The sequence below is a fragment of the Homo sapiens genome, chromosome 1, assembly GCF_000001405.40.
Source record: "Homo sapiens chromosome 1, GRCh38.p14 Primary Assembly".
NCBI lineage: Eukaryota > Metazoa > Chordata > Mammalia > Primates > Hominidae > Homo > Homo sapiens.
In genome coordinates, this window is record NC_000001.11 from 231721913 (window position 1) to 231747131 (window position 25219).

General features: G+C 42.0%; 1 protein-coding gene and 1 long non-coding RNA gene across 29 annotated transcripts in view; both read left to right on the top strand.

Annotated features, from left to right (window-relative positions):
- TSNAX-DISC1 (TSNAX-DISC1 readthrough (NMD candidate)) overlaps positions 1–25219 on the top strand; it is a 512620-nt gene that overhangs the window by 193260 nt on the left and 294141 nt on the right. The gene's annotated exons all lie outside the window — the stretch shown is intronic.
- The window catches only part of DISC1 (DISC1 scaffold protein), a 414483-nt gene that overhangs the window by 95123 nt on the left and 294141 nt on the right, over positions 1–25219 (top strand). For 4 of the 22 annotated variants that reach the window (NM_001164552.2, NM_001164550.2, NM_001164553.2 and 1 more), the window contains one exon: positions 627–2162. The exons of 17 other annotated variants lie outside the window; for them this stretch is intronic. Coding sequence is in view for 4 of the 5 variants with exons in the window: in NM_001012958.2 (NP_001012976.1) it covers positions 627–689 (63 nt within the window). In the remaining variant the exon portion in view is untranslated. Of the gene's footprint in view, positions 1–626; positions 2163–23491; positions 23588–25219 lie in introns of those variants that run through there. One more of the 22 variants, NM_001164537.2, reaches the window with a different exon arrangement.

A 25219-nucleotide genomic window follows, 5' to 3' on the forward strand; every position in this document is an offset into this window, starting at 1 on the left:
GGAGGTCGAGGCGGGCAGATCATGAGGTCAGGAGATTGAGACCATCCTGGCTAACATGGTGAAACTCCATCTCTACTAAAAATACAAAAAATTAGCCGGGTGTGGTGGCGGGCACCTGTAATCCCGGCTACTCGGGAGGCTGAGGCAGGAGAATGGCATGAACCTGGGAGGCGGAGCTTGCAGTGAGCCAAGATCGCGCCACTGCACTCCAGCCTGGCGACATAGCAAGACTCCATCTCAAAAAAAAAAAAAAAAAAAGCACTGCCTTAAGGACTTTCAAAAATGGTATCTCAGATATTTGGAAACTATTGTTGAGAGAAAGGAAGAGATTCCTCCCAAATCTGGGCTTCTTTTTCATGTTTGATAGAAGCTTGAATTTTGAGTAAAAAACACAGTATGCTAGAGATGCTTAACCTGGAATGACCATGGTATTTGATACAAATGAGGTTCTGTAGAATGCGGACAGCTCTGCCTGGACTGCTCTATGAAATAGATCTTTCTACTTATCCACACTCGAACAAGTGTGTCCAGCATAAACATCACAGTGCTTCAAATACTGTTAGTCCCAGTCAAGGATGTTATTCTGTGTCCATTCCACTCAGAGGTATTCATTTTCTTCTTGGCAGCTGGAACCAATTGCTTTGGATCCACCATGGAAGCCTCGACATCCTGAACCAAACTCCTATTAATGAAACTTCCCAAATTTAAACAAAGCAAGACAAATAGATATCCACACAGCGTAGATCATGACTTCTTTAGACATCATGAAAAGAAAAAGAGGACCCACGTGGAAGAATACGCTCATTTATGATCAGGGTAGCATCATATTCCTCTCCCTTTTAACATTATTTCAGGATAGCAGCTGTCTGGATGCTGGCCATGGGCTTGAAAAAAACCAGGTGGGCATTTCTGCCCACTGTACCGTTTCTCCCATGCGTTTCCCAGTCCCCTGTCATGGCATGAAAAAACCGCTATTGTTCTGTGTTGGGACAATTAGATTTTTGTAGGGGGGAGAAACCACCCAAAAGCAAATGGAAAAATATGCTATGATTAATGTCAGTTACGGGAATTAAACTTCGGAGGCCTTTAGGACAATTATGAAGGAATCATTTTCCCCTTGGTGGCAATATGTACTACAGTTGTCCCTTGATATCCATGGGGGATTAATTCCAGGACGCCTGTGGATACAGAAATCCACGTGTACTCAAGTCTTGTTTTCAGTGGATATGAAAAGTCGGCCCTCCATATCTGCAGGTTTTACACTTGGCGAATGCTGTATTTTTGATTCATGTTGGATTAAGGATCTGGAACCCCTGATACAGACTGTATTTATTGAAAAAAAAGTCTGCCTATGAGTAGACTCACATGTTAAAACCCGTGTTGTTCAAGGGTCAACCATAACTGCAGGCAGAACATCTGGGCAGGAAGCTCCTGCAGGAAGACCTGTAAACTCAGGTCTGTGGAACGGCGATGATCTTCTTCCCTTGCTTCCAGAATTATTGCTGTGAGATCAGGTGCACTGGCTACGACCTTACTCTTTGTGCAGAACTTATTTCTGGTCTGGTTTAAGTGAACGTTATTCTTTCTGTGCAGTCCTGTGGTTACATCAAAGGTTAAATTTCATATAGCATGTCTGTTATATCAGACTTCTCTGATGGCCTGTCCAGAGCAAACATTTTAAAATATTGGTCCTATTCTGTCTTATAACAGTCTGCTCTGGTGATTTTTGTCTCATCAATTGGATTATGACACTGTCAGCCACTGTTAGTGTTATTCTCAAATTCAGTCTTCCATTCATCTCTCCTTCCCTTCCCTGGCAGACAGACTTCTGCAGCCACTGGGACTGTTGGGGTGAGGAAAGGCAAGAACCGATGTTTCATTCTCTCCCTCCCTTCTTCCTCCCTCTTTTTTGTTGGTTGTGGGGTGGGCTACATCTTCTTACCCAAACAACCAGGAGCATTTGTTGGCAAGTTTATTGTGCCCAGTGCCGATGTCTGGACAATTAATTCCCTAGGTCAGTGGCTTTCACAGTTTGTGATGGTGACTCCAGGAAGGAAACTCACCATGACCCTGTATATACATAGAACAAAAATGCAGCCCACTCTGATATTGTATTTGTTCTATTCTAGTTCATTAAAAGTGAATGTTGGTCTTCATCCTTTAAATGGATATTGTCACCTGCTAATAGATTGGACCAGTATTTTGAACAATGGCCTTGGTACTTCATTTGGCTTTGCATGCTCAATTGTCATATCCTCTGTGTGGGGAAGGGGGCAGGGCTGCTTCCCTGGGCTGTCTCCTGGGATGCCCAGGGGCCCTGCCTGCCTGCGTGGGTCCTTGGGGACCTAGAAGTTCCGGTTTTTCATGAAACAGCGGGGCTCTAGAAGAGCCTTTTCCCTTATCCTGACTCTTCCACCCTGATTTCTTCCCGAGGACTTCTTACTATGTTTAAAGATGGCAGTGAAGTGGCCTGTGGGTTCTAGAACCCTGCAAACACCGCCCCAAGTGTGATACCAGTTTACCCTTCTTGTAGACATCCCCAAACTTCAAGGTGATTGTCTTGAAGCCCTTCACCCAGGAGAGGGAACCAGCGTACAATAACCGCTGTGCTGCAGGAGAGGGGAGGTAAAGAGTTGTCACAGCCTTGAGCCTAGCTCTTCCCCCAAAGGCAGTCTCTCTTTTCTTCTTCCTTCCTTTAGTCATCTGTGTATAGACACAGATGCAAACTTTTCCTGGAATTCCTAATCTTAAGCAGTCTTCAATAGGAGACCTGGCTTCAGAGTCTGTCCTTAAACAGTGAGGTGCCCTGTGTCTTTTATTCTTAACTGTGGCCTATCTCCACTCAAATTTTGGCATTTGGCGTTTGGTTGTCAGTGGTTATTTTACATTCTCAAGTGTCACTGTCATTTGGTTAGGGTAGTTGTCAGGGTGGTTCTGAGAGCCAAGTGTGTAGCATAGCTTTGTTGTTACAAATGAAAAGGCCAGTTCCCATTTAACCAGGTACTGCTGGCTTTCTCTACAGGATTTGGTCTACATCCATTAGTGCTCTTTGTTGTCCATGTCACTATAGGAGAGATTCCCCGGGACCTACAGGGTCACTGTCTGTTTCCAGGATCAGTGAGTCACTCCCTCGTGGCCTGTTATGGCTTTGTGTGACCACAGAGAGGGTCACGGTGGTGTGGAAGCAGGGAGGGGGAGTCAGCCCTCGCTGTGCAGCAACCACAGTGACGTCCCCAGTGATCAGGCTTCGTGGGGATGCTCAAGTCCCTCTTGATGATCAGCTCTAGTGATTCTCATGTTCTGCACGCACAGAATACATCCTGGAATAATGGTGGTGAGGTAGGAAACTGGCAAGACTTATTTTGTGTTCACAAGCCTCCTGACCCAAACAGGATCTGGTCCAGACAGGGTCAAGTGAAGAAACTGACGCAAACCAGCAGATGGCGACAAAAGCCATCCCTAACTGCCCTTATTGCTCATTAGCATAAGACATCCCACCAGCCCCATGACAGCTTACAAATGCCATGGCAACTACCGGAAGTTACTGCCCCTTTCCTAGGAAGTTCTAAATAACCCACCCCTCAATTTGCACTAGCTCACCCCTTAATTTGCCTGTAATTGAAAGTGGGAATAAACACAGTTCCGAGAGCCCATATGTTGCTGACTCTGCATTGCTGCCTATGAGTTAGCCCTGCTCTGCGAGGAGCAGTACGCTTCATTAAGATGATTGCTGTCTAACACCACCAGGTCGCCCTTGAATTATTTCCTGGTTGAAGTCAAGAACCTTCCTGGGATAAGCCCCAGTTTGGGGGCTTGCCTGTCCTGCATTGTTGGTATTTTCCGTTTGCTGAGAAAAGTTCAGTTAGTGCTGCCTGAGCTGGCTGAAGGCCCTTCTGGGCTGGGTCCATATGCCCAAGAGGGTGACACTGGCTGGTCTCGGGGGTGGTGTCTTTGAGGGAATGAGATTGGTCCTACGAGTGCTGGAGAAACTGCACACTGAAATGGTGTAGCCTAGCATTGTTAGGGAGTGGCAGATAGGAGCAAGAAGCTGAAAGCAGGGAGCAGACAGGAAGGAGCACATCCCCTTTCCTCCTCCAGCCTTGCAGTCTCTTTGGAGCTGGCAGCAAAGTCAGAAACATGGTTGGTCTACAGAGGTCCAGCCTCAGCATCACAAAACAGAAGATAAAAAGATATGTTTAGAGGGGAGAGACAATAGCTTAATAACAGGCACAGCCCCAAAATAACATTTTGCTTTTCCATGTTATGAACCAAGTGAGAGATAACATGAAGGCATGAAGAAGATGGAAATCTAAATATCAGCATCGTTCCTGATAACATAACATTATGGAATGTGGCTTGGGTATATGGCAACAGTGGGCTTCCTAATACCAAACCCCAGAACAAGAATTGCCCATGCAGCTGTGGGCAGTGATGAGCTGCAGGCACCTTTTTTTTGAGGCCTGGCCTTGTAAACCTGAGTTTCTGGAGGAGCAGAGCAAATGAGTGCTGCCCAAGGTCACCTGGCCTCCACCAAGGAGGGAGAGAGGAAGCACTGAGTTACACATGCTCAGTCTTAGGTCCCAGTTTACCAGTGGGGAAATTCAGTCTATCTCCCTGGACAGGTGAAAGCAGCGGGGCAACAGGGAAAGCCCCTCCTCATGGATACCTAAGGGCAGGGAAGACGGGCTGTATTCCCTCCCTACATAATGTAAAAGACAATATTCTCAAAAGCAGTTGACACAACAGGGGCCAGTTCTTATAAATTGATAGTATCACCCCAGAATGTGTTTGGGCAAAGGCAGTTTTATAAGTGGCCACATGATCTGGTTCCATGACATGCTGCTTAACTGCTCTGTCTTAATTCAGGAAGTGGTTTTAGAATATCAGGAAAAGAGAGACGGATGGACTGCATCATCTTTCTAGAAATATCATATCCATAATCACATCCATGATCTCTCTCTTAGCCTATGATGGACAAATAAGGGTCTGCAGTGAGATTTTACCCTTCCCTGCAAGAATCTGGGGTGTAACTATTCAGGATTATTCATTAAGAGAGGGCTCTCAAGCTAATAGAATCAACCTTGGATTAAGGCTGGCATAGTAATGCAGTCAGTACTTGGTAATTAGCAATATTCTGATTCTTTTCTTAAAACACCAGCTCATCCCTGCCTGCTCCTGCTTGTCTTCAGGTGTCTGCAAGATGATAAAATGGATGAACATAGCACATGATTATCCGTGGAATACTCAGAAACTATCATCTCTCGTGTTATAGCTTGCTTTTTCTCTATTTTTCATGGACACCTGTGCTTCTCACTCTAATTTTACATTGCACACCTATAATGGATTCTTATTTTCTGCTACTGATATTTTTGCTAGTGTATAAGATAGAATTTCATATATCAACATGTCCCAGTATTCCTCAGAGGGCTTAATGACTTCCAGGTGGTTCAGAACCACTGATGCCTGGGGCCCTAAAGGGAGACTGCTGCATGTCCTACATGTGTGAATGGAGGACAGAGAGCGAGTTTAGGACAGGGGGCAGGGATGGACATTTTACATTTTGAAGAAGTAAACACTGGGCAAGACTGGCCATTAATTCCTCCTCTATTTGACCATCCTCTGGGTGTTGGGACTCACTGAATATAGGCTGAGTTTCAGAGAGACGCCCCTTGAGTAGAATTAAATCTGAATCAAGAAGCAATTAAACCCATGACAGCAATCTCTTGGAATCATTTTTACTTTTGTAACAACTCTTCTACTTGTGTTTTTCAAAACTCTTCACAGGCATTCTTTTCTCACCATTTTACAATAATCTGGTGGCATGAGTTGGCCTAGTGTTATTTTTCATATGTGAGATGAGTAAAGTGGCTCTTAGAGGGGTTAAATAGGGCCTGGTGTGGTGGTGGGTCATGCCTTGCAATCTCAGTGCTTTGGGAGGCTGAGGTCGGAGGATCGCTTGAGCCCAGGAGTTCGGGGCTGCAGTGAGCTATGATTGTACCACCGCACTCCAGCCTGGTGACAGAGTGAGACTCTGTCTAAAAAAAAAAGGAGGGGTAGGGGGGTGGTAAGAAAAAACCCTAAAATTATATTATAAGATTGTTTAGGATGAATCCAGGACTAAAATCTGGGTCTCCTGACTCTTAAGCAGATAAATCAGTTTTAAAACTTGATTTTTTTTTCGTATGCTAGAGGATTTCATACAAAGATGGAGGAATCACGCTGCATCCCTTTGGTGTTTACTTGATCATTTTATTCCTCTTTAGAGGTTTATCTTTAGGATCACATGTTGTGCCATCTATGATGTTAATCTTTAAGATGCTAGCTTAAAGCATTATAAAGCCAAGATTTGTTTTTTAAAGTGTCTAAAGAGAATGTCTCTTGTTAAAGTGAGACTGTCTTCTCATTTTACAAATCCTAACTGCCTTTTACAGCACACAGTGCGGTAGATGTTCGGGAGGCAGCCGCCAACAAGGCACAATCGCCCACTGTCTTCAGGGGCCTCTGGCTTAGTCCTCATGCTCCTGGATAGCACCTACCAGGAGTTCCCATCTGGGTCCAGGAGTTAGGCTTTAATACCTAGTAAGAGTCATTGAGCTGCCAACTATTATTTTGTAGCTCAGAGGTCTTGGAGCTCTATCCTTGGAGTTATACACTTAACCAGTGAAGAGCCTAACGGCCAAAGATGTAACTGCTTGACATATGAAACCACATGGTGAACTTAGTTTGTTCTACCAAGGACCTGAGGTCTTTCTTCCATCTGCATTCTGTTACTATTGCATTTTTGCTCTGGAAAATGTTCCCATTTAACGAAATTTTACTTCTAAAATCTGCATGGCATCTGAGGAGTTTGAGAAAGTACTTCTAAAATGTGTCCTGCAGAGCCTTCTACAGTGTATCTTTCGGCTTCTCCTTAGTATTTATAGAGGCATATATATATATTTTTATTATGCTTTAAGTTTTAGGGTACATGTGCACAACGTGCAGGTTTGTTACATATGTATACGTGTGCCATGTTGGTGTGCTGCACCCATTAACTCGTCATTTAACATTAGGTATATCTCCTCATGCTATCCCTCCCCCTCCCCCAACCCCAAAACAGGCCTGGTGTGTGATGTTCCCCTTCCTGTGTCTATGAGTTCTCATTGTTCAATTCCCACCTACGAGTGAGAACATGTGGTGTTTGGTTTTTTGTCCTTGAGATAGTTTGCTGAGAATGATGGTTTCTAGCTTCATCCATGTCCCTACAAAGGACACAAACTCAACCTTTTTTATGGCTGCGTAGTATTCCATGGTGTATATGTGCCTCATTTTCTTAATCCAGTCTATCATTGTTGGACATTTGGGTTGGTTCCAAGTCTTTGCTATTGTGAATAGTGCCGCAATAAACATACGTGTGCATATGTCTTTATAGCAGCATGTTTTATAATCCTTTGGGTATATACCCAGTAATGGGATGGCTGGGTCAAATGGTATTTCTACTTCTAGATCCCTGAGGAATCGTATAGAGGCATATTGGAGTCCAGTACATACACAGGTTCACAGTGTGCTAGAAGCATTGCTCTTTATTAGTTATTCTTATCACTGGCTGCAGTTTTGTGATTTCTCTCTATTAACATTGCCTTTGAATTGAAGGTCACTGTTTTATTTGTATTGCTGCTCTTCAGCCAAAAGAAAATAGCTTCATTCTGCTTTGTTCCAAGAAACTAATATTCTAGCACGCTTTATGCCTTCTGATTGGATTTCATCCAAATTGGAATAGCTCAGGCTAGTGGAAATATTTTATTTAATCCTCTAGGGTTTTTTTTTTTTTTTGACTAGCTGTTGTATCTTGATACCTTTACATCACTCAAAGAATTTAAGCTGTTCCTGCTGCCATGTCATTAGCCAGAGACCAATTTTGTACAACCCCCTTGGCTTTGGGCCTAACACTGGTATGTTCCATTTGTCCATTCCAGAAAGGGATGTACACATCACTGTGGTTTGAATTATATTTTAAAAAATAATGATGATGGTGGTTGCTCAGTGGTGCTCCTCTGATACTCTGAATTCTATTATAGATGAATGAGCTGCAAAATATTCTATAAAAAAACAATTATGTCTTAAAAGATTATAGGCTGCAGCAATTACCACTAAAAGGGTGAGAGAGCCTGTAGTTTTTGAGCACTGACAAGCAGATACATCCAGCTAATTTTTTGTGAAAACACCAGCAGAGCAAATTACTCATGAAAAATCTGTTCACAGGAATGAATTAAATGCCATGTCCAGTTTAACAGTGAACACTGACTGCAACCAAAAACCAATAGAGATAAATAATGAATGGCATTTGAATTCATTCATTTGTATGATTCCAAAAATAGCCTCAGTGCCAATAGTGTTTCTAATGTCCAAAACCCACTGTAGACATGGAGAAGGATAAAGAAGCCAATGAAAAAGAAACTAAAAAAGTGACCATTTGGATTTTATTTTTTCTCCACATTCCTGCAGCCAGTCACATTGACCTTTTATTTTTATTTTTTATTTTTAAACTTTAGATTCAGGGGATACATGTTGTGCAGGTTTGTGACAAGGATGTGTTGTGTGATGCTGAGGTTTGGGCTTCTATTGATCCTGTCACCCCAAATGTAGTTAGTGAACATAGCACCCAATAAAATGTTTTTCAATAGTGCAGTTTCTACAGTTACTGTTAATATGGAATTGGCCCAATAACAACTGGCTGAATGTATAAGTTGGATGATAGCTTGCCAGAAATTTCCCATGGCCTTGTTGGTAGGCTGGGGTAAGATATGATAATATGCTATAAAGAATTATTCTTTTAATTTCTCTCCTAGTTAGACTATACCTAATAAACTTCAGTTTTCAGTGCACAGAATTGGTCATTTATCAGCTGTGCACCTAGATTGCTAAGTGAGTTAGTCCTAGCCTAAGTAATTAACCCATTTTGGTGATGACTGAATATATGTCTAAATTCAATTAAAATGAAGAATATGGTGTAAAATTATTTTTATGCAGGAGAGCCTGCCATTACATTTTAAATAAGAGTTTCTCTTTCAGAGTTTACATATTTTTAAATGGCTAAAAAAAAAAAATCACAGTTTTTTGTGTAGGCATGATCTATCACATTTCCCTGTATAACCCCAAATGGGAAAATGGAAGTTCTAGGTTCCAAGCTTGGGTTCCTGAATTTCACTTTAATATTTTAAGGATTAAGAAAGAACCTTGAAAGGATATTCTGTTGTAGCCCAGTTTTTAGGCAGTATTGATTCAGGAAAGGCAAGCCCCAAACTGGGGCTTAGCCCAGGAGGGTTCTTGGCTTTGCCCAGGAAAGAATTCAAGGGAAAGATGGTGGTAGAAGAAAACAGCTTTATTGAAGTGGCAGTGTTATAGTTCTGTGATTGCTCCTGCAGCTTAAAGGCAGTTCTGCAGTAATATTTATACCTACTTTTAATTACATGCAAATTAAGAGGTAGTTCATGCAAAAATTTCTAGGAAGAGGGTGGTAACTTCTGCATTGTTGGATCATTGCCATGGAAAGGGGCAGAAACTCTCAGGTGTTGCCATGGCAATGGTAAACATGGCATGCTGGGCCTGTCTTTGAAAAGGTGCTTCCATTGCCTCCCTGTTTTAACCAGTCCTCAATTAGGCCTGGTGTCTGAGCCCCACCTCCTACCTCTGTATCACTCTTAATACTTTGTTATATTTTTATTAATATATCAAGGTTATGTTAATTTTGTGCACTGAAAGAGCTGTGAATTTTGCAAAAGTTTCCAAATTAACTGAGAAGTGCCACCAAGAGATATAGTCTATTCAGTTTTTCCAAAAGCTGCTTTCTTAGCACATATTCCATTTGGGCATAATTTTAGCAAGTTGACTTATAAAGCGTCTTTAAGTGGAATATTTCTTCCCCTGCCTCACAGCCAAGGCAATGGCTCTCCCTGGCACTGTGCAAACCCTGAGCCAGACGCTCTGCTCTCAACAGTTACAACAAAGTCACCAGGTAGATCTAGTTTCACTGTCTCTTTCACTGTCAAGGAGACTGAGTCTTAGAGAGGTTCTGACTTGTTCAACATCTTGCAACTAGTAAAGAGTAAAATTAAGGTTTGACTTGAGACAGCTTCTTCAGAACTCATGCTCTTAAATCCTGACCCTATAGTGTGAATACCTTGGACCCCTGCTCAGCCATAAAGTCCTCTCTTGCCCTCCACTGTCATGAGGACTCTCCAAGGTTGTATTGACTTGAAGGCTACATGAGAAAGGTGGGTGGGTGCATACTTTACAGTTGAGTTTGATAGCATAGCAAGGCTTGACAGATAATGATAACTAGCTATCTATGTGCCTAGGGTTTCTCATACATCGCATCATGAATTTTTTTACAACCTTGTGTCCAGTGTATTGATCAGAAAGGTCACAGAGACAAGAAGTGCCCCAGCAGGAATTCAGACCCATCTCTGTTTGGCTTCATAATTTATGCAAATCGATCCCAGACAGAATTCTACTTAGAAATGCCTCAAGATACCAGTTGGAAATTATCTTTCATTTCTGAAACTGGAAATTAAAAAATTATTTAAACAATGCATAATCATTGTAAAAATATGTAGGCATTGGGATATACAGTATAAATAAAAGAAAAATATCCTTTGTAGAGATCCTTTGTAGACATAGCCACCATTCATATTTCGATGTGTGTCCTTTTTGACCTTTTTCATTGTGTGGCTGAGTGGCATTTTGTCTTTTGCTATTTCCGTTGGGTTCTCTGTATTATGGCTACTTGGATATGATCTAAGGAATGTTTCTCTTTCTCCAGTAAGTGCTTTCAATGCATATATCTTAATAAACAGGTAGAAAGTTGGATAGTTTGCTCTTTCTACTAATAAGTAGGAGCCACGATAGTAGTATTGTGACAGTGGTGATAGTGGTTGGAGTGCTAGCGGAGGTGATAGTAGCAGTGGTCGTGGTGCTGATGATAGTACGTGTGAGAGATGAGTTGGTGGTGTAGGTAGTGGGAACAGTGGCAGTGGTGGTAGTGGTGATGGTAGAAGCAGTGGTAGTGGTGATAGGAGTGGTGGTGGTGATGATAGGAGTGGTGGTGGTTGTAGCAGTGTTGTTGGTAATGGTGGTAGTGTTAGGAGTGGTGGTAGTTGTTGTGGTAGGAGTGGTAGTGGTGGTAATGGTAGAAGCAGTGGGTAGAGTTGGTGATGGTGGTAGTGGTAGGAGTGGTGGTGATAGTGGTGGTAGGAGTGATGGTGGTGATGGTAGGAGTGGTGGTGATGTTTACTTGGCAAATTCTTGCTCAGGAAGAGTGTAGGAGTGTTGTTGGTGATGGTAGGTAGGAGTGGTGGTGATGGTAGAGGTGGTGGTAATGGTAGGAGTGTTGGTGGTGATGGCAAGAGTGGTGGTGATGGTAGGAGTGGTGGTGATGGTGGGAATGGTGGTGATTGCAGTAGGAGTGGTGGTAGTGGTAGTGAGTGGTGGTGGTGATGGTAGGAGTACTGGTGACTGTAGAAGTGGTGGTGGTTGTAGGAATGGTGGTGATGGTGGTGATTGTAGAAGTGGTGGTGATGGTAGGAGTGGTAGTGGCTGTGGCAGTGCTGGTGATGGTGAGAGTGATGGTGGTAGTTGTAGTGGTGATGATGGTAGGAGTGGTAGTGGCTGTGGCAGTGCTGGTGATGGTGGGAGTGATGGTGGTAGTTGTGGTGATGATGGTAGGAGTGGTGGTGGTTGTGGCAGTGCTGGTGATGGTGGGAGTGATGGTGGTAGTGGTAGTGGTGGGAGAAGTCGTAGTGGTGGTGATGGTAGGAATGGTAGTGGTGGTGGTGGTGATTGTGGGAGTGGTGGTGGTGCCATGAGTAGTGGTGGTAGTGGTGGTGGTGGTGATTGTGGGAGTGGTGGTGGTGCCATGAGTAGTGGTGGTGGTGGTACGAGTTATGGTGATGATGGTAGTGATGGTAGGGGTGGTGGTGACAGTTGTGATGGTTGGGGGGTGGTGATGGTAGAAGTGGTGGTGTTGGTGGTAGGAGTATTGGTGGTGGTGATGGCTGAAGTGGTGGTGGGGGTAGTAGGAGTGGTGATGATGATGATGACCTGACTGGTGGTGGTGGTGGCCGTATTGGTGGTGTTGGTGATGGTGGGAATGTTTGTGAGCACTTTCCATTGCACTTAAAAAGAAGTGGACAAACTCATTTCTCTTGCCTGGACAGTTGTGAGTGAAGATGCCTCCATCCCTGAGTCTGAACCATAAGCTTGGACCACATATATAAGTGATTCACTTTTCCATAGCATCTGTGAAGACATACTTATAGAAACAATGTATAGTTCTGAAAATCTGAGGGTTTAATGAAAAGTAGCAAAAATTCAGTTGGTCATTTACTTCCCTGGCACATTTGATGATTGACATTTGGTGAAAGAACACTTTATTGTGAATCTGTTTGAAGTGGTGGGGCAATGAGTATTTTGGAGGTGCCCATAATCAAGCTCTTTCTTCAGAAGCTTGTGATCCTGAGAAATTTTGTGTTTTCTGTGTTGTCTATAAACTGCAACTTAAGGATGTTTGCAAGGCCTATTGGCATCACGTGCTCTCTCTCTCTCTCTCTCACGCACACACACACACGCATGCGCACACACACACAAGCTTGCTAGAGCTTGCCAGTCATATGACACACTCAAGACCTGGTGTAAGTACTTTTTCTATTTTAGTCATTCACAACTTAACTGGTTTACTTGGCAAATTCTTGCTGGGGAAGAACACTTGCTTCAGAACCACATATCCCACTGAAATGTGTCAGCAAAGCAACAAATATGTATCAAGAACAAGGCAATAGGCTAAGTGCTGAGTGGGCAGATATCACAGTTAAATTATTGCTTGTCTTCCAAAATTTTTGTATCATCTCCAAAGGTTTGTTTTTCCTTTCATATCACAACAAAATGATTTCCCAGTCTTCTTTCCACACATTGGGCAAGCTTAAAATACAACATTTCTAAAAATCCTCTTTGGTGTTCCCTGAAAAGATCTATGAGCTATGGAAACCAAGCTTACCCTAAGCTGTTTAGCATTAAGAATTTGAGGAAACCAAATCTCCACTTTTATGCAGAAATCAAAGAGTAGCATAAGTAACTTGTAGGTTATTTTAATAATACAATAATTTTGTAAACAATAAACAGCTCAAATTTTGTAGCTGGCTTTGTAAGTAGAGAAATTGAAATAAAGTCACTCAAAATCACACTGACTGATTGATTGTCAAAACTCTTAGTTCTTCCCAGGACTTTTTAAAAAACATACTTTTAATAAAAAGTACAGATAATATTTACATATTTTGTATCCTGATTTATCTTGTAATATTAAAATATTTCCTGTTTTCCTAATTGTTCATTGACTTACTGCATACCATTCTATGAGTGGATATACCATAATTTACTTAACCATTCCCCTAGAATTGGATCTGAGGCTGTTTCCATTTTGGAGAGTTTTTTTTGTTTGTTTCTGTTGGCTACTGAATACTTCCTATGGGAAAGAGGTGGACGTGGTGGAAAATGAATTGATAGAATAGTTTGCATTTGTATAAAGCATGCAAATTTGTATTTCCAGATATGTCACAGTGAAAGGATAGAATCTTTCCTGTAGAAAGAACACAGAGGTTAAGAATATAGGTTTTGGAGTCAGACAGACCTTGGCTTTATTTCTGAATCCACATAACTGTGTGACTAATTTTGAAAATTTTCTCGAACTTTCTATAAGCTTCTTTCTTTCATTTCCAAAGTGGGAGTAACCACTCTCTCGTGGGATCATTGTGAGGATAAAATGATTGATATGTAGCAATGTGCTTGGCACATAGCAGTGCTCATAAAATTGTTGCTATTTTCTATGTTTATCTTATTCCTCATCCAAACTGTAACACTCATTCATTTATTTTAGTTTGATTTTTTTGAGTCGGGGTCTGGCTCTGTTGCCCAGGCTGGAGTGCAGTGATGTGATATCGGCTCACTGCAACCTCTGCCTCCTGGGCTCAAGCCATCCTCCTACCTCAGCCTCCTGAGTAGCTGAGACTACAGGCGTGTGTCACTGCACTTGGCTACTTATTTGTATTTTTTGTAGAAATGGGGTTTTGCTATGTTGCCCAGTCTGATCTTGAATTTCTGAGCTCAAGTGATGCTCCTGCCTTGGCCTCTCAAAGTGCTAGGATTATAGACATGAGCCTCTGTGCCCAGCCCCATTCATTTATTTATTCAGCATTCACCAGTGGCTGTTGCATGCCTGACACTGAGCTTTTTACTGGCAAGACAGAGCTGAATGAGGCTGTGTTTCTGCCTTGTGGATCCCCCAGTATCCAGGGACCCAGATCAAACAGATAGGCAAGACCCCTGTGTCACGGAGGAAACTACAGGGGAAGGTACTGCTTTGGGAGTGGCTCTTGGGAAAAGTAATAGCAAAAGCCCAGAGGTTAGCACCGAAAAAGATCAAGTTCAGACTCTGCCTTTGCTATTTTCTTGCTGTGAGGCCTTGGGTAAATTACTTAAAGTTTCTGAATTTCACTTTCTGCATTTGTATTCTTACTCTGCAAAGTGTTGTGAAAGAATATACATATAGCTCTGGGCATGTAGCAGATGCTCAAAAATGATTATTATGCTTGAAGTCTTCAGTGCCCCAATCATGGCTGATTTTCATGAAAATAAACTCAACAAACTCCAGTGTTCTGAAATGTCTGAGACTGGCTCAGCTGTGCTCAGGTTAGTCTGAAATACATTTTATTACAGTCTAATTCTCTGCAAAGTGGTCATCCACACATCTTGTGTATGGTAATGTGGAATTAGAATATTCAGCTCTCAGTGAATTTCATTTATTGGCCATTATGTAAAAACCAAAGAAAAATGACTTATGAAGACATTGATTGCTTTGTAGCTTTAAAAGACCTCCTTAGAATTAGAATGGCTACACAGCCTCTAAGAATATGGTCTACACTATATATTTTGTCATCCTGCAGACACAACAAGGAAGTGGGAATCGAATCTATTTAGCAGGATGTCTTTATGTGTGAAGATTTCTTGCTGCTTATAAATGCTTATTTGATTATTTATTCATAGATATAGAAAGCACTTTTCTTTCATTCTGTTTCCTCATTGTCACCCAAGTAAGAGTCACTTATTACTGATGTGCTAAAGAATAACAGATGAGCATTGACCTTCAATTAAACATTAGCAAATATGTTGCAGTAGCATAAAAAATAACATCCACTTGCTTCAGAATAGAATGAGATGATGCTTAACATTTCTATTGCTGAGGTCCTACAAGTAAAACATGTTTGTTTCATAAATAGAATTTATATTATCAATTGGAACATATTCTTCAATGCATTATTTTGCCTACTGCTTAGGAATATCTTCCTTTGTTAATTTTGAGTTATTTTATTTCTACTATTCAGCCATGCTTATAAAATGCAAGTCATATTTCTAATATTATTGCTGTTCTTTTAGTCAGATGGGTTCAACCACATTTATTCAGCACCTGCTATGTGCAGTACACTTGTCAGCATGCTGGTCTTAAACCTTGAGCTATAAACTGAAATCACATTAACAATGTCTAGAGAAAGACTGCAGAGATTTAAAATAAAGAAAAGTCAGAGAAAGGTGAGTTATGTTTTTTTTGACCACTGGGCCAAACAGTGAAAGGAGAATAGGAGAGGAGGTTTTCTTAAAGGCACAACAGGATTCACACAAATGAGGAGACTTAGAACAGAAAGGTCACAAATACAGCACTTGTAGTGCTGGGGATATGTATTAATATTTTAAAAAAACAACATATTTTGAAATAATTCTGCACTTAAAAGTCACAAGTATGCTACAAAGAGCTCACATATCTCCCTCGTTCTCATGCCTGAGCTGGCTCCTTCCTGAGCTGGATACATACGCCCGTTATCAGAACGTTTTTCTGACCACTTGAGGGCAAGCTGCAGTTTTATTTTTATTTTTATTTTTTGAGTCAGGGCTTGCTCTGTTGCCCCGGCTAGAGTGCAGTGGCATGACATCGGCTCTCTGCAACCTCTGCCTCCTGGGCTCAAGCCATCCTCCCACCTCAGCCTCCTGAGTAGCTGGGACTACAGGCATGTGCCACTGCACCTGGCTAATTTTTTGTAGAGATGGGGTTTTGCCATGTTCCCAGGCTGGTCTTGAACTCTTGAGCTCAAGCAATCCTCCCACCTTGGCTTCTCCAAGTGCTGGGATTACAGGTGTGAATCATGATGCCCTGTCACTCCTAAGTACCCCATTGTGTATGCCCCCAAACAAGGACACTCTCCCATGCACCCAACCTGCAGCTTCCTCCAAGTCATGAAGTCAGCATTAATACAACACTCTTCTCCAGTCTACAGACTCCATTCCATTTCACCAAGCATCCCAGTGATGCTCCTTTCTCCTTTCTGACTCAGGAACACACATTGCATGCAGTTGTTGTAGCTCTTAAGTTTCCTCCTGCTTGAGCAGTTCGTTAGTACTCAATCGTTCTCTGTCTTCCATGTCCTTGAAAGTTTTCAGGAGTGTAGACCTTACATTTTGTTGGATGACCTTCAGCCTGGGTCTTTCGGATGTTTCCTCATGACCGGGTTCAGGTCATGCAACCCTAATGAGAACCTCTTGAAAATGATACTGTGCGTTCACATCAGGTGTCACACAGTGTGGACCCCTCCCGCCACTGTGGATGGTAACCTTCATCACCCCATCATTCTGTGGCTGCCTGGTTTCTCCAGCACTAAGTTCCCATGTTTCCTTTGATATCTAAATAGTATGTTGTGGGCATGATAGTCTATGATTATTCTGATGCCTACTCCCCATCAAACCTCCATTTCATCATTCATTTCCATTAGTCAGCATTCTATTAGCATGGATGTGTTGGTTCCTATTCTATTCAATGGGCTGTACTTTATTACTATTATTTTGATTCTCAAAGTGTCTCAGGTTTGGACCAGAGGAACTTCTTCAAGGTGTCTCTTGTGTTCTATTGACATGTCCCCATCTGCCTTTGAATACTTCTTAATTTTTTTGTACAACAGGATGCTGTAGACACATCTGTACTGCCCCTGCCTCAGCCCTGGCCTCAGCCATTTCTCCCAGGAGCTCTGGTTCCTTGTATGGATGGATGGAGTTTAGAAATCAGGATCTGTGTGCTTGGTGTGCTCATGGCTACTGAGGTGTCATTACTTATAGGCCTTCTCAGTAGGTAAATATAGAAAATGTGTGTAAATGCACTCATATGCTTCCTTCGCTATTTCCATATTCACCTGTGAGTTTGCATATTAAAAACTAGTAGTTTATGCTAATGTTTCCTATTCCAGTGCAAGTCATTAGAATCTTTTCTACCCTTCCCCCTTTCCATGATTATATGAACATTCTCCAATAATCAGGAATCTGGCCCTCTTTATCTTCATATCCTTAACTCCTTCATTTGTTTACATATTTCTCCATGTAACCTATCTCCCATTTATCCCAGCTGTCTTCCCCATCTGTTGCTGTGTTCCCCTCAATGTGCCTCATCCCCAGGCCCTGGCAGGCTCATCACCACGTGTGCTGCCAGATGCCTCTGTGTGGCAGCCCCTGCATCCTTGGTGCTGGTGAGTGGACCACCTGTGTGCTCCTGTACAGGCTCCCAACTTACCAATGGGGCCGCTCACTGCCACCTTTTCTGCACAGGAAGAGACGAGAAGGCCCATTTATGATTTTGACCCCAGTCCCAGGCACTGAGTTCTTCAAGGGCCAGGAATGTGACTTGTTGATCTTTGTAGCCCAACAGTCTAGCAATGTTGATTTACCCAAAGCATTATTAATTGAGTGACAGATGAAATAATAAATAAACATGGCATTTGAAAGGTGAAAAAGTCTTGTCAATCATTTTCAAACACTCTCCTCTCCCAGAGGAACCATTTCCACATCATCTGTATCACATGGACAAAGATTGCCAATCTGGGTAAAGCTTCCTCCTTCCCCCATTGAGGTGTGAAATGGACTGAATGCTTGTGCTCCCTAAATTCCTGTGTTGAAACCCTAATTCTAATGCGATGGTATTAGGAGGTGGAGTGTTTGGGAGGTGATTAGGTCATGAGGGTGGAGGCTTCATGAATGGAATTAGTGCCCTTATACGAAGAAACCAGAGAGGTAGCTTGTTCCCTTTCTGCCATGAGAAAAAGCAGCTGCCTGAAACGTGGCAGCTCTCACCAGAACCTATGCTGGCAGCTTGATCTTCGACTTCCAGCCTCCAGAACTCTGGGCAATACATTTCTGTTGTTTAATCTACCCAGTCTATGGTACTCTGTAATAGCATCACCAACCGACATAGACAAGGAGGTCTCTGATGCACCTTTTTGTTGTTTTGTAACAATCATGATTTAAAAACATCTTGTGGAGGTATTGGTCATATTTAGCACATGAGGCTCTGGGACTTAAGTGGGGTAAGTGATTTGTCAAATAGAATATGCACAGTTAGTGTCAAAGCCGTTGCCCGGATCTGGGTACCCTGATCCTTAGTGTTGTGATTCTGTGTTCTATCCAATGTCATGCCTCCCCCACATGACTCAGGAGCAGAGTGCTGGCATGGAGAAGAGACAGGGTGGCTGAGCGAGCTCACTTATGGTCCTGAATACCAGGGGCAGAGGTTTGGACTTTGTTCTGCAGCGCACATGGAGTCCTCCAGGCCTTTGAGAAGATTTTGTATTACAGGTTGAGTACCTCTTCTATGAAATGCTTAGAACCAGAAGTGTTTTAAATTTCCAATATTTTGGGGGGTTTTAGAGTATTTGCACATATATAATGAGATATCTTCAGGATAGGACCCAAGCCTATACATGAAATTCATTTATGTTTTTTGTACATCTTATACACATAGTCTGAAGTTAACGCTATGCAAAATTTCAAAATAATTTTGCACATGAAACAAAATTTTGGCTGCATTTTGACTATGACCCGTCACATGAGGTCAGATGTGCAGTTTTCTACTTATGGCATCATGTCAGCACTCAAAAGCTTTCAGACTTTGGGGCATTTCAAATTTCAGATTTTTGGATTAGAGATGCTCAACCTGTAACATGTATGAAAGTGCTTGGAGTAATGCCAGGTTCTAGCAGATGTTTTTGCATTTTGTTTATCAGCTTGTGCACATCTGAGTGTTAGGAAGGTCGCTCTGTTGGTGATGTGTGGAAACCATGGAAGGAGTGAGAGAGATCAGACAGAGAGTAATTCATCCTTGCAGAAGTGCTGACAACTCGGGCTAGGCTGGGGACAGTAGAAATGGAGAAGATGTGAATATGTCAAATACCACGAGAGACTCACGAGGATGTGAAATGTAGGAAGGGGACAAAGCAAAGGATCTGAAGCTGAAGGCCTGGATGGGATAGTGCCCTTGCAAGGCAGAGTAACATCTTGCTAGGTAGGTAGGCAGTGAACTTGATTTAAGACTTGATGAGATTTATGTCTTATATTCATTTAGTTGCTAATGAAAAGGATTTAAAGTGGCTTATGAAAAACATAAAAAAACAAGAAACAAAACAAGGGAATCTAAAGTTCATTGTAATCAGACTCATTTTTTGAACAATTTGCTGTGAGCCAGGCAGCATCCCAGGTGCAGGTCACTATACAATGACCAACACTGTGTCATGGCGCCTCTTGTGTGGATGCATGAGGCCTTGAACATGTGGAGGTGAGGGTGTGGTGGCTTGTCAAGGAGAACCTGCCTGTGCTTAGGGAGCTGGTGGAGCAGGGAGCCTACCTGCAGGGTTGGCAGGACCGGAGGAGATACTGGGATCTGATGGATGAGGTAGACTTAGCCTGGGCTGGATGTGGAGGAAGAATGACTCTGGCAATGGGAACAGCAGATTCTCCTGAACCCTGCTCCCAGCTCCTCTCACAGCAACTTTGCTTTTCTGGTTCCCTATGTCCGATCTGTCAGAGAACATCTCAAATCCGACCACTTTTCACCACCTGCGCTTTCATTTCCAGGTCCTGGCTACCCTTAGGTCTTGCCTGGGGAACATCAATGACCCTGTGACTGGTCTCTGGGCTCTGCTCTTTTACAATGTGTTCCCAACAGAGCAGCCAGGTGATCCTGTTAAACATGAGCTAGATCATGCCAGTCCTCTGCTCAGAACCCTTCAGTGGCTCTCATCTCCCTTGGGGTAAACACCAAAGTCTGCTACAATGGCCTATGTGGCTCTGAAGATCAAGCCCACTCTCATACCCTCTCTCCCTCATCTACTACTTTCCCCTTGGTTCACCCTACTAGGAGTGTTCCTTACATATTAAAGTGTGTATTTGCCTCATGGCTTTTGCACTCTCTGGGAGCTCCCTCTGCCTGGAATATCCAATTAGTGAATAGGGGTGTCATTCGGGGAACCCAGAGAGCCAGCTTTTGTCAGAATGGAGGTAGGATGCACCCTTATGCTAACCAGAGGTGGTGCTGGCAGGGCAAGTGGAAGCTCCCAGTAGCTGAGAGCTGTGAGAGAGGCTGGAGTAGGAGATAATTTAGAAATTGGAGATCATCACTGAAGCTATGCAATTGCTGGTGACCATCCTGATGCCCTTTTCTAATCATAAGATAAAAAATAACTGGGGCTGAGCATGGTGGCTCACGCCTGCAATCCTAACACTTTGGGAGGCCGAGGCAGGAAGATCACTTGAGGCCAGGAGTTTGTGATCAGCCTGGACAACATGACAAAACCCCATCTCTGAAAAAAAAAATTTAAAAAGCAGAGCCTGGTGGCACATACCTGTAGTCCAAGTTACTTAGGAGGCTGAGGTGGGAGTATTGCTTGAGCCCAGGAGTTTGACATCAGCCTGGGCAACATAACAGGGCTCCTTAGCTACAAAAATAAAAATAAAAAAAGCTAGGTGTGGTGGCACATGCCAGTAGTCCCAGCTACTTGGGAGGCTGAGGCAGGAGGATCGCTTGAGCCCAGGAGTTGGAGGCTGCCACTGCATTCCAGCATAGGTGACAGAGCAACACTTTGTCTTAAAAAAGAAAAAAAAAGAGAGAAAGTAGTAGCTTTTGATGCCTACCCTTTTGAAGGTGAGTGGCAGCATGGAACATAGCTAATCACAGATATTTTCTGCGATAACTTATATCTTTCTTTGGAATTCACTGTGAGTGTAATTTTTGGCAGCCAGTTTACCATTTCCAGTGTTTAATTTTGTTGGATCAGCCTGCGCTCTCTGAGAACTTTTCATCTGGCAGTGGATGGGTATAGTTTAGAATATGGTGGATAGCAGAGGGAGGCTAGACTGGGTTTTTAATTTTTTTTGGAATTTGAAGACAGTGCTTAATGATATTACTAATAATAGACAATCCTTTTGAACACATACAAAATGCCAGGCATGATGCTAATTGCTTTGCATAGATTATCTCAGTTAATCCTCAGAAGGCCTTATGATGTAGATACTATTATTAACCCCATTTTTTACAGAGCAGGAAACTGAAGCTTAGAAAGGTTAAGTAACTTGAAGGTCAGACAGCTAGAAGTGGCAGAGGTGGGGAAGACTCAGGTTTTCTCCTAACCCCTATGGAACAGATCTGGATGCATCTTTACATACATTATGACTGTATCAGGATGCTATTTTAGAACACATAATTCAAGAACTTTATTGCGTTTCACCAAAGTTTTGATTTTGTAGAACAAGAAATAAAGTATTAAGAAAGAAATCATATAAACATTTGAACGCTTGGTGTCAGTTAAGGAATGGGTACATTTCAGCATTATCCTAGAAGGTCTTATCAGGCCAGACTCTACTGCGTATTTTAAGTGGGGTGTCTGAATTAGCTTCTGCAGTAACTTCTGAAGAAGGTGGCACAGACTGAGAGATCTGCTAATTACTTGGGACTTGATCTTGGACAGATGACCTTTTCTAGTATCCTTAGAATGAATTGTTGGTAAATGCTTAGTTTCCGGCTATAGGTTTCAATGCATATGACAAGTTTATGTGAATGTCTTTCACTTAACAGCCTCAGAGACACAAGTTTTCTGCCCTTTCCTCTACCTTTTTGGGACCCAGGTGTGTGCCTTGGGAATGGGCCAGTGCAGGAAAAGAGTTAGGTTGAGAGGCACGCTGTGACTCATGTTACTCTCTGCTGGTGTATGATAAAAGGTTTTGTTCAAAATGACAAGCTTGTTGAAAAATGTGTTTTAATTTAGACTTGAGTCTTATCGAAATGGCCTCCTTAGAAAATGGCTTATAGAGCCATAAGAACATAAAGGAGTCTTTGTGATCTAGGGTAGAGACTCTTAAAACATTTTCTCATTATGACGTAAAAAAGGATAATGTTTGTATTGCACACTGGGGTTAAGTAGTAAGTGCTCATGGCCCGAGGTGATGGCTTGGGATGTTGAGCTGCCTTGGGCCCACCCACTGCCCCAGGGTGAAGAGGATCAAGGTCTTAGTGCACTAGCCTGCCAAGGACCACCAGAAGGGAAGCTCTGATGAATGGTATCTTAAAACCCAGTCCTTCCATTTCTGCAGAAATAGTTTTATGTGAAACTTTCTAATTCTTTGGGCATTGGATTTTGAAGATAAGTTCTCATTAGAATGGATTCCAATTTCTGCAGTTTATTTAAAATTTTTTAACAGTTTGATACCAACACTTTATTAGCAAAGAAAATGGAATCAACTTTTTTTTTTGGTGCCAGAAAGCATAGTTTTTTTTCCATAAGAAACAAAGGTGGAATATATGTAATGGGTGAGAGACAACCAAAACTTGCCACATAAGGGCCAGTGAGAGAATCCCAACAAATAGCAAAAGTTCATTTTTCCATGACCTATTCATCACAGAACAATTAAAAAGCTACACAAAGATCAGTCTTACCTGCATTTTAGAAATACATTTCAATTCACCCATGGATCCAACATGGGTGATCTATCTATCTATTCTTTTAGATAGACAGAGAAGTTTTTATTAACTAACTTAGGAAAAAACACTACCTGTTAAACTCATAAACAATTGTTTAAAGAGTATCTACAGAATCCTTCTCTCAATGTTTCCATGTAAAAGAAATGAAAATCAATAGTCCAGAGATCCTCGTTAATAATGAGCCACTGATAAACACAACATATTTATAACTTGTATAACATTTTATTTATGTGCATTCTTTGAGCATTATGCAATATGTAATTAAAATTTTTTTAAATAAAAAAATTTAATATCTTTATTTTTTGTCAATTGATTTTTCCCCACTTAAAAAATTTGCAAATAATAATTGTGCATATTTATGGGGTACATAGCGATGCTTCAGTACATATAATATATAGTGATCAGATCGGGGTAATTAGCATATCCTTCATCTCAAACATTTATTTTCTTGTTTTTTTTTGAGACGTAGTTTTCCTCTGTTGCCCAGGCTGGAGTGCAGTGGCAAGATCTCGGCTCACTGCATCCTTCATCTCCTGAGTTCAAGTGATTCTCCTGCCTCAGCCTCCCGAGTAGCTGGGATCACAGGCGCCTACCACCATGCCTGGCTAATTTTTGTATTTTTAGTAGAGACGGGGTTTCACTATGTTGGTCAAGCTGGTCTTGAACTCCTGACCTCAAGCAATCCACCTGCTTCGGCCTCCCAAAGTGCTGGGATTACAGGTATGAGCCACCGCGCTCAGCCTAAACATTCATTATCTTTTTGTGTTGGGAACATTCAACATCCTTCTGACTATTTGAAACTCTAAAATATACTATTGTGAACTATAGTCATTCTCTATTGCTGTAGAACACTAGAACTTATTCCTCCTATCTAGCTGTAATTCTGTAACTTTTAACAAATCTCTCCCTATCCTTCACTTCCCCCTACCCTTCTCAGCCTCTAATATCCTCTATCCTACCTCTTACTTCTATGACATCAACCCTGATACAGTTTGGATGTTTGTCCCCTTCAAATTTCATGTTGAAATGTGATCCCCAGTGTTGGAGATGGGCCTGGTGGGAGGTGTTTGGGTCATGGGGTGGATCCCTCGAGAATGGCTTGATTCTCTTCCCATGGTAATGAGTGAGTTTTCACTCTGTTAGTTCACATGAGAGCTGGTTAAAAGAGCCTGGCATTTCTTGCTTGTTCCCTCTCTTGCCACGTGATGTGCCTGCTCTCCCTTAGCCTTCTGCCATGATTGTAAGCTCCCTGAGGCCCTCACTGGAAGCAGATGCCGGCACTAAGCTTCTTGTAAAGTCTGCAGAACCAGGAGCTAAATAAATCTGTTTTCTTTATAAATTACCCAGCCTCAGGTATTCCTTTATAGCAATGCAAAACGGATTTAAGCAAACTCATTTTAGCTTCCACATATGAGTGAAAACATGTTTAACTTTCTGTTCCTGGCTTATTTCACTTAACATAATGTCTTTCAGTTCCATTCATGTTGCCAAGAATGACAGGATTTCATTCTTAATGGCTGAATAGTATTTCATTGTGGATATATACCACATTTGCTTTATCCATTCATCTGTTGTTGGACACTTAGATTGATTCCATATCTTGACTAATATGAATAATGCTGCAAGAACATGGGGGTGTAGATGTCTCTTTGAGATGCTGATTTCCTTTCTTTTGGATAAATGTGCAGTAGTGGGATTGCTGGATCATATGATTGTTCTATTTGTAGTTTCTTGAGGAACTTCCATACTGTTCTCCATTGTGGCTGTACTGGTTTACATTCCCACCAACAATGTATAAGAGTTCCTTTTTCTTCACATCCTTACAAGCATTTGCTGTTTATTTTATTTTTTTGTCTTTTTGATAATAGCTATCCTAACTGGGGTGAGATGATACCTCATTGTGATTTTGATTTGCATATACCTGATGATCAGTGATGTTGAGCATTAAAAATACATTTTTGGCCATTTTTATGCCTTCTTTTGAGAAATGTCTGTTCGGATTATTTGCCCATTTTTAAATTAGATTGTATTTCTTTTGTTGAGATGATTCAGTTCCTTGTATATTCTGGATAGTAATCCCCTGTTGGATGGGTAGTTTGCAAACATTTTCTCCCATTCTGTAGGTTGTCTTTTCACTCTGTTGATTGTTTATATCTTTTATTTTTTTGAGAAAGGGTCTCACTCTATTCCCCAGACTAGAATGCAGTGGCATGATCACAGATCACTGCAGCCTCGACTTCCCCAGACTCAGGTGATCCTCCCACCTCAGCCTCCTGAGTAGCTGGGACTACAGCCATACACCACCATGCCTGGCTAATTTTTGTATTTTTGTGTAGAGATGGTGTTTCACCA